The 10,579-nt window shown below is 41.6% G+C and overlaps 1 pseudogene; it reads left to right on the forward strand.

Annotated features, from left to right (window-relative positions):
- Positions 4,940-7,506, forward strand: DPP3P1 (DPP3 pseudogene 1; annotated as a pseudogene).
- The last annotated feature ends 3,073 nt before the right edge of the window (positions 7,507-10,579 follow it).

The raw sequence follows: 10,579 nt of genomic DNA on the forward strand, positions 1-10,579 counted from the left end.
AACAATTCTGCAGTAAAAAGTTATATGCATCACCCTTGGTATCCACATTAAGTATTCCATTACATTGAACTCCTAGAAATACAGTGACTGTCACAAGTGCAGGTGTGTTGTGTTGTACTGGATAATGAAAATATTTTCTCAAAGTTATTCTGTAAATTTAAAATTTCAGAAGTGTCTACCATTTTCATTGCCCCAGAAACTTTTCAGCACTTGATATTGTTAAGCAATTTTTCATTTTTTTTCCAACACGATGTGTGTAAATGTTTTCTCACTCTGATTTTAATTTTCATTTCCTATTATTGAAGTCTTTCAAGTTTACATAAATTCCATGGTATATTTATTTCCATTTAGTTAAATGAGTTCAAGATTTTTGTTTGTAATTTTCTATCAGATTGTTTGCTCCTTCAGATAATTTGTACAGCCTCTTTACTGTTTCTGTAAATATTTATTGATCATATATATTGATAATATAGTCACCAAACTTTTGACTTGTTATTTATCCTTTTTTATGATGGACTTAATTAAAAAAAACTTACTTTTAATGGAGTCTAAATTTTCAAACTTTTTTCTGTGCCTAACTACTTTTGAATCTTAAAAAAAAATTGTATTTTCAGAACTAATAAAGCTTTTCCTCAATATTTTAAAGGTTTTCAAATTGGGTCTTCTAAATGTAACCTCAAAATTCATTAGTAATTTGTTCATTAATGTTATAATCCAGGTTTTATATATTTTTTTCTACATGGATAACAAATGGATCCAGCACCATTTACTTAATACTCAACCATTTCCTGCTAATATGCAATGTCAGCTTTGTATACACAAGGTTTCCATATAAATGGTGATCAGATTGTTGTTTTTTATATATTACAATTAATGAATTGCCCATTCCAGTACCATTTCTAAAGGAATTTTATTGCTACAGCTTTACAAAAAGCCATGACATTAAGAAGGAGAAATAAATCCTTCTTCATTGTTCTGTAGGTTTAGCTTTTATATGTTTGACTCCTTACTCTTTTTTACTAATTTTGGAAATTATGCTATCAAGTTTCCTGAAAAAAGTATAGAAAATTGATTATTCTTATAAATTGAAGAAAACATTTTAATTAATTTTAATAATTTTTTATGATTCATATTTTTTCTCTGAATTATCTTCAAATTATATTGTTAGACCTTATATTGCTTTTCTTTTATGTTTTGCTTGTTAGAAATTATATCTTAATTTTAAAAAGAAGTGGTGATACAAAACATTGTAGCTTTATTTTTTCTGAATCGATATTAATGATATGTTTCTAAATACTATTTTATTTTTATTTCACAAGGGTTTTTCTAAATTATATATATATGTATTCATATTTATTTTTGTGACAAAGTCTCACTTTGTCATTCAGGCTGGAGTGCAGAGGAATGATTTTGGCTCACTGTAGTTTTGACCTCCCTGGATTAGGTGATCCTCCCACCTCGGCCTCCTGTAACTGGGACAGTAGGCACTCACCACCACCACATCTGGCTAATTTTTGTACTTTTGTAAAGGTGAGGTTTCACCATGTTGCCCAGACTGGTCTCAAACTCCTGGGCTCAAGTGATCCACCCACCTCAACCTCCCAAAGTTCCGAGATTACATGCATGAGCCACTGTGCATGCATGCAATTAAAAATTTGTCAATTTTTAATTGACAAATAATAATTATATATATATATATATATATATATATATATATATATATGATTATAAAAAGGATTAAAGGTAATTATTGGTGAGGATTCAGTCTGGATACTTTCAATTGACCATTCTTTCAGTAGAACAATCTTGATTTCAACTTGGTTGAAGTGACTGTCAAACACATCTATTGAGTTAGTATTTTTTAGATGCACTATATTTTAGTTCAGAATATTTAATAGATTGTTATAGTTGCAAACTCATAAAATGTCATGTAAATTCTTTTACCCTTTTTTAAAGAATTTATTTTACTAAATGAATCATTTATTTCAAAAAGACTTAAATATTTGGATATACTCTATAATATTTGGATTTCTACTAATTTCAATATTTAGATGACACATGGTGTGGTTTGGCTCTGTTTCCCAACCCAAATCTCATGTTGAATTGTAACCCCCAATGTTGGAGGTAGAGCCAAATGGGAGGTGATTGGATCATGGGTGCAGATTTCCCCCTGGCTCTTCTCATAATAGTGAGTAAGTTCTCACAATATCTTGTTGTTTAAAAGTTTGTGGCACCTCCCCATCACGCTCTTCCTCCTTCTTTGGCCATGTAAAACATGCCTTCTTCCCCTTGTTCCGTCTTCTGTCATGATTGTAAGCTTCCTGAGGCCTCCTAAGCCATGCTTCCTGTACAGCCTGCAGAACTGTGGTCAATTAAACCCCTATTCTTTATAAATTACCCAGTCTCAGGTAGTCCTTCATAACAATGTGAGAATGGACTAATAGGAAAAATTGGTACCAGGAGTGGGGCATTGCTATGAAGATACCTGAAAATGTGGAAGTAACTTTGGAACCAGTCAACTGGCAGAGGTTGGAAAATTGTGGATGGCTCAGAAGAAGACAGGAAGATGAAGGAAAGTTTGGAACTTCCTAGAGACTTGTTGAATTGCTTTGACCAAAATGCTAATCATAATACAGGCAATGAAGTCCAGCCTGAGTGGTCTCAGATGGAGGGGAACTTATTGGGAACTGAAGCAAAGGTCTCTTTTGTTATGCATTAGCAAAGAGGTTGGAGGCCTAGAAATCTGTGAAACTTTGAACTTGAGGGAGACGATTTATGGTATCTGGTGGAAGAAATTTCTAAGCAGCAAAGCATTCAAGAAGTTACCTGGCTGCTTCTAAAAGCATTTGTTCATATGCATGAGAAAAGAGATTATTTGAAACTGGAAGCTATGTTTTTAAAAGGAAAGAAGAGCATGAAAGTTTGGAAAATTTGGAGTCTGACCATGTGGTAGAAAAGAAAAGCACATTTTCAGGGAAATAATTCAAGCCAGCTACAGAAAGTTGCATAGGACAAGCCAAATGTTAATAGTCAAGTCAATGGGGAAAATGCCTTGAAGTCATTTCAGAGACCTTTGTGGTAGCCCCTCTGATCACAGGCCCTAGGAAAGAAGAATGGTTTAATGGGCAGGGCCAAGGCCCCTCTCCCCTGTATAACCTTGGGACACTGCTCTCTGCATCCCAACTTCTCCAGCTCCAGCTATGGCTATAAGGGCCCCAGGTACATCTCAGGCTGCTGCTCCAGAGGGTGCAATCCCCCATAAGCCTTGGCAGCTTCCACACTGTGTTAAGCCTGTGGGTGTGCAGAGGACAACAGTTGAGACTTGGGAGCCTCTGCCCAGATTCTAAAGGATATACAGAAACACCTGAATGTCCTGTTAGAAGTCTACTGCAGGGGTAGAGCCCTCATGGAGAAACTCTACTAAGGCAACGCAGAGTGGAAATGTGGGGTTGGAGCCCCCACACAGAGTCCCCACTGAGACACTGCCTGGTGGAGTTCTGAGAAGAAAGCCACTGTCCTCTGGACCCCAGAATAATACATCCACCAACAGTTTGCACAATGCACCTAGAAAAGCCACAGTCACTAAACATCAGACTGTGAAAGCAGCCATAGGGACTATATCCTGTAGAGCCACAGTGGCAGGGCTACCCAAGGCCTTGGGAGCCCACCCCTTGCATCAGTGTTGCCTGGATATGAGACATAGAGTCAAAGTCAAAGGATATTATTTTGGAGCTTTCAGATGTAATGACTGCCCTGTTGCATTTCAGACGTGTTTGGGGCTCGCAACTCCTTGGTTTTGGCTGATTCCTCCCTTTTGGAAAGAGAGTATGTATTCAATGCCTGTACTCCCATTGTATGTTGGAAGTAACTAACTTGTCTTTGACAATACAGTCTCATAGGTGGAAGGGACCAGCTTTGTCTCAAATGAGACTTTGGATTTGGGACTTTTGAGTTAATATTGAAATAAATTAAGACTTTTCAGGACTGTTGAGAAGGGATGATTGCTATTTTGAAATGTGAGAAGGACATAGGATTTGGGAGGGGCCAGGGGTAAAATAATATGGTTTGGCAATGTGTCCTCACTCAAATCTCAAATTGAATTTTAATCCCCAATGTTTGAGGTAAGGCTAGATGGAAGTTGATTGGATCATGGCACTCACCAAGCACAGCAAAGAGCTCCCCGTTGCTGTTCTTGTGATAGTGAGTGAATTCTCATGAGATCTGGTGGTTTATAAGAGTGTGGCACCTTTCCCCTCACCCTCTTCTGCTTCTCCAGTCATGTAAGATGTGCCTGCTTCCCATTCACCTTCTGCCATAATTGTAAGTTTTCTGAGGCTTCTCCAGCCATGCTTTCTGTACAGACTGTGGAACTGTGAGTAAATTAAACCTCTTTTCTCTGTAAGTTAGCTGGTCTCAGGTAGTTCTTTATAGTAATTTGAGAATGGACTATTATAACACATAAGTCTCTTCATGTTTTATATAGTATTACTTTTCTCTACAAAATAAACCTTTATTGTGATAGTTTTGTACCATTTTCAGCTTCAGAATTTGGACTCTGAATAGCCTCATGTTCAAATTTGCCACCGTAGCTCATGGTTCCATGCAGATTTCTGCTAGATTCCCTTCCCACCAAAACTAGTCTTCTGCCTGGAAAAAGCTGAAGTACTCACATTCTTGGCCCAACTAAGATCCAGAAAAAAGTCCAAGACAAAGAAAATAAAAGTCATTACTTCAACTTTGAGAGTTTCTCCTCTCTTTGCAAATGTATGCATTTGATTCCTCCTCATTTCTTCTATAAAACTGTGATGTCTTTGAAGACAAAATACCTACATTTTAAATTAGTTTTCTGATTATTCTAAGTGTAAGAGTTAGTCTGACACAAAATACACTATACTATCCCAAAGAAGAAATCTCAAATATGATTTTTTAAGAATAAACTAAGTAGAGTTTGAGAATGGAGAAGCTGCTGCAACAGGGCCCATGGCGGACACCCAGGACAACTTGCCCAATGACATTAGAGTGTCTAGCCTGGACTGCCATGAGGCCTTCTGCCTGCTGTCACCCACAGAGCACCTCTTCTATCCCCACCACCTGTCCCATGCCCCCTGGTATGGAGGCCTGGCTGGGCTGCTACAGGCCTCCCCTGAGGCCCCCTACATCTATCCTCTGCTCAGCTGCCGCTTCTGTGCCCAGGACCCCGACCAGCTGTGCCAGCGTGCCTTGGCCAAGGGCCTTACCGAGAAGAAGTATCAAGAGAAGTTGAAACAGGTGATCCTAGGAGTGAGGCCGACCAGGGGCCTCTGGCAGACCTGCAGGGAGCTTATGCTCTCTCTGGAGCTAAGGCTTCGACACTTCAGGCTAGGGAAGGAGGGAATCACCACCTATTTCTCTGGGAATTGTACCATGGAAGATGCCAAACTGGCCTAAGACTTTCTGGACTCACAGAACCTCAGATCCTACAACACCTGGCTCTTCAAAGAGGTCAACGGAGAAGGGAAGCCCGACTATGAGGTGTGGCTGACTTCTGTGCTCTGCACAGAGCCTTCCCTGCACTCCGAGGTGACTTCCAGGCTGAAGAGCTACGAATTCCGGGGAAGCCATTTCCAGGTGACCCAGAGGGACTAAGTGTTCATCCTCCAGAAGGCAGTGGAGCAGATGGAGAAAGCCAAGGCATATGCAGCCAACGGCTACCAGGGGCAGATGCTGGCCCAGTATACACAGTGCTTCACCCAGGGCTCCATCGAGGCCCACAATAGGGGCTCCTGTTTCTAGAGCCAGGACAAAAGCCCCATCATGGAGAGTTACAGCGGGTTCATCGCGAGCTGTAACCCTTTGGTTCCCGAGGACAATTTGAAGGTTTCGTAGCCATAGTGAACAAGGCCATGAGCGTCAAGTTTGAGCGGCTGGTGGCCAGCGCAGAGCAGCTGCTGAAGGAGCTGCCCTGGCCCCAAGTCTTTGAGAAGGACAAGTTCCTCACCCCCGACTTCACCTCCCAGGATGTTCTTGACTTCGCTGGTTCTGGCATCCCTGCTGGCATCAACATCCCCAACTACGATGACCTGAGGTGGATGTAAGGCCTTAAAAATGTGTTGTTTGTGAACGTACTGGCTGTGGCCTAGGCCATGCAGCAGGATAAGCTCACCTTCCTGGAGGAGAATGACAAGGACCTGTACATCCTCTGGAGGGGGCCCTCCTTCAATGTGCAGATGGGTCTGAACGAGCTGTTGGGCCATGGCAGCGGCAAGCTCTTCCTGCAGGATGAAAAAGGAGCATTCAACTTTGACCAGGAGACAGTGATCAACCCAGAGACTGGAGAGCAGATTCAGAGCTAGTAGCCGAGCAGGGAGACCCGGGACAGCAAGTTCAGCACCATCGACTCCACCTACGAAGAGTGCCAGGCTGAGAGCATGGGTCTCTTCCTCTGTCTCCCCCGCAAGTGCTGGAGATCTTTGGCTTCCAGGGGGCTGATGTGGAGGACGCGATCTATGTGGACTGGCTCCACATGGTTCATTCAGGCTGGGCTACTTGCTCTGGAGTTCTACACACCTGAAGCCTCCAACTGGTGACAGGCCAATATGCAGGCCCGGTTTCTTATCCTGAGAGACAAGTCTTTGTCTTGTCTTGTCTTGGGTGACAAGTCTTTGGGTGATTCTGAGAAGAGTGGCATGACCTGAATTAATAATATAATGTTGGTTATTCTATTGAAGATAGACTGAAGAGTGGACATAGAAATAGTGAGAGCAGTTAGGAGGTTGCTTCTGTGTTCCAGGCAAAACATGATCAATTTATACTGGACAGTAGTGGTGGGGATTGTGTGATGTGAAACTCCTGAGCAAAAGTAAACAGGAGGCTAGTGACGGACTCATTACCATCACTCCCACCACAGGCTCTGATGGACACCCGGATGCCAGGGTCCGCCTCGACTGCAGCAAGATCCGGTCTGGGGGCAAACCTGCCCTAGAGGGCTTCCTGCAGAGACTTCAGGTGCTGAATGAAGTCCACAGGGGGATGTGGCCGGAGAGTGGGCCATGTACAAGCGGTATGAGGCCCCTTGAGTGCTTCCTCACCCTCAGGGACAAGGTACGTCAGCGTAAGGAATCTCAGAAGCTCATCGTTCAGCCCAACACTTGCCTTGAAGGCTCAGACGTGCAGCTTCTGGAATTCGAGGCCTCAGCTGCTGGCATCATCGGATCCTTCTCCGAGCATTTCCCAGAGGATGGACCCGAGTTGGAGGAGTTACTCACACAGCTGGCCACAGCCGATGCCCGATTCTGGAAGGGCCCCTGAGGCCCCACCTGGCCAGGCATGAGGAATATGTGTGGGGCCTCTCCCCCAACTCCATGAAACCAAGGCTTCAAGTGGCCCTCCATTCGCGGGTATATTTAGGGGCTGGGGAGGGGGAGGGGCAGGAGCTTGGACGTTGATACTACATCAGCTGAGGGTGGTGACACTAACCCCTTCCATTTGTCAGCACTTTCCAGCTTTCCAAGTGCTTCCCCTCTGTGATCGCATTTCATCTGCACTGCCATACGTGGAGTGAGCAAGACAGGGTCCACCAGCCCGCCTACCAGATGAGGAAATGGCAGTTCTGAGAAGTCACTGGTCTAGATCCTGCAGGTGGCTCGTGACAGCTAGGGTTCAAAATGTTCTCACCAAATCCAATGCTCCTCACATATTAATTTTATAACCAGGCAAATAAATATTAGAGATAACCATCAAATAAATAAATAAGCTAAATAATTTTGACTGATTTATTCCATTTACATTTATGACATTTCTCATATATCAACATCATATATATGGATTGATTTCACTTATTTTATATTTTATTTACCCATTCTATCATTAACAACTTTACTGGTTTATTTGTACCCCATTCTTTGGATATTTTAAAAAATATTTTATTTGGCCGGGCGCAGCGGCTCACGCCTGTAATCCCAGCACTCTGGGAGGCCAAGGCGGGTGGATCACGAGGTCAGGAGATCGAGACCATCCTGGCTAACATGGTGAAACCCTGTCTCTACTAAAAAAATACAAAACAATTAGCCAGGCGTGGTGGCGGGCGCTGCTCGGGAGGCTGAGGCAGGAGAATGGCATGAACCCGGGAGGCGCAGCTTTCAGTGAGCCGAGATCGCGCCACTGCATTCCAGCTTGGGCGACAGAGCGAGACTCCGTCTCAAAGTGGCCATTATTTGGTATATTTTTCTTCAGTTCTGAAACAATATAAAAGACTTGCAGAAATTATCTAAGTTTTCAAACATTTACTGTTTCCTTGGATCATTTTTTCTCAGATTTATTAGATTATTTTTGCTCATTTCTTGAATAAATCCTTTAGTTTTCTGCAGAAGTACCCTGCTTAAACTAACCCTGTAGGTTATATATTGGATATATTGTTTATATAAGAAACATTTTACCTTATTCTTCTTAAAAGAATTATGTTGTGATTGCAATTAAAATTAAGTTATTTAGGCTGGGCGCAGTGGCTCACACCTGTAATCCCTGCACTTTGGGAGGCCAAGAAAGGGGGGATCACAAGGTCAGGAGTTCGACACCTTCCTGGTCAATATGGGGAAACCCTGTCTCTACTAAAAATACAAAAATTAGCCAGGCATGGTTGCGGGTGCCTGTAGTCGCAGATACTCAGGAGGCTGAGGCAGGAGAGTAGCTTGACCCTGGGAGGCAGAGTTTGCAGTGAGCTGAGATCGCGCCACTGCACTCCAGCCTGGGTGACAGAGCAAGACTCTATCTCAAAAAAATAAAAAATAAAATTAAGTTGTTTGAAGATAGTACTTTGCTGTTCCTGCTTCCATTATTTCTATGAAGCTATAAATTGACCATCTATTTTCATTTTTCTCAAAGTAATTTTTTTCTTTTTTCTTTTTTTCTTTTTTTTAGACAGGGTCTCACTGTGTTACCCAGACTGGAGTGCAGTGGCATGATCTCGGCTCACCATAACCTCTGCTTCCCGGGCTTAAGCTGTTCTCCAGCCTCAGCCTCCTGAGTGGCTGGGATTATAGGCAAGCACCACTACCACCTGGCTAATTTTTGTATTTTTAGTAGAGATGGGGTTTCACCATGTTGGCCAAGCTGGTCTTGAACTCCTGACCTCAAATGATCCACCTACCTAGGTCTCCGAAAGTGTTGGGATTACAGGCGTGAGCCAGTGTGCCCAGCCCCAATTTTTGTCTATTCTGTCTTCTCTCTCGCTTTTCACCTTTCAGGATGCTTTAAAGATTTTCTCTTTACCTTTGGTTTTTGAAGTTACATTAGGATATATCTGGCTTCAAATTTCATCTTATCATTCTTGGGATTCACTGAGTTAATAGAATGTAAAAATTGATTTCATTCAATCATGTGTAAGACTGTCATTTTCTCCTTCAAATATTCATCTTTAAGGGTTAAATTTCTTTGGATATAATGACCATTTTTAATATACAATTATAGTTTAGGTTCATTTGAGCAAATTTTAGAATGTAAGAAGTTCAACCATCACTTTTTTTTTTTTTTTTGTGAGACGGAGTTTCGCTCTTGTTGCTCAAGCTAGAGTGCAATGGCACAATCTCGGCTCACTGCAACCTCCATCTCTCAGGTTGAAGCAATTCTCCTGCCTCAGCCTCCCAAGTAGCTGGGATTACAGGTGCATGCCACCACACTAGGCTAATTTTTTGTACTTTTTAGTAGAAATGGAGTTTCACCATGTTAGCCAGGCTGATCTCAAACTACTGATCTCAGATGATCTGCCCACCTCGGCCTCCCAAAGTACAGGGATTACAAGCATGAGCCACCATGCCTGGCCTCAACCATCACTTTTAACCACAATTCCAAAAACTGATTACTGCTAACATTTCAGTATATGCAATTGTTTATTTTATTTATGACAATTCAATACAAAAATATTTTAGGCTATACATATAAAAATATATTTTAGGCTATATATTGACGAATAGTAAATAAAAGTGATTTTACAATAAAACTGTAGTGATCCCATAGTATTATATCTGAAATCCTATTTAATCAAGTATCTTTTACATCCTTAAATCATTTCCAGCTACCCACTTTAATACTTTATTATTAAGATGTGATAATGATTAAAAGAGGCAAAAAATTCTTGCCCTCACAGAGCTTACAATCTATTTGGAGAAAACCAAAACCAAATAACATAAAATAGTAAATATTTAGTATTTTGTAATATCATTAATGCTAGGGATAAAACGTGTAGGTGAGAAAGTATATAGACTATCTAGGTTTGTTGTGTAAAGTAAAGTATTCATTAGAGTATCCAGGAAAGATTTTCATGAGAAGATGTTTTGATGAAGACATGAATCAGACACCATTCATGTGAATACCTGGAGGAAAACCATGCCAGAAAGAGAACCGCCTGTATAAAATTCCAAAGTGGCAGCATGCCATGGAGAAGAAGCTAGAGTGCTGGCATGATGTAGGAATGAGGAGAGCATTTGGGATTGTCATCAAATGGCTGCAAAGGGTCACCTTATACTGAAATACAGAAGTCCTAGTAAGGATTTACCTTTTTACTACGAAGGAAATGACAAGTCTTTGGGTGATTTTGAGAAGAGTG

Source organism: Homo sapiens, chromosome 4, assembly GCF_000001405.40.
Source record: "Homo sapiens chromosome 4, GRCh38.p14 Primary Assembly".
Taxonomy (NCBI): domain Eukaryota; kingdom Metazoa; phylum Chordata; class Mammalia; order Primates; family Hominidae; genus Homo; species Homo sapiens.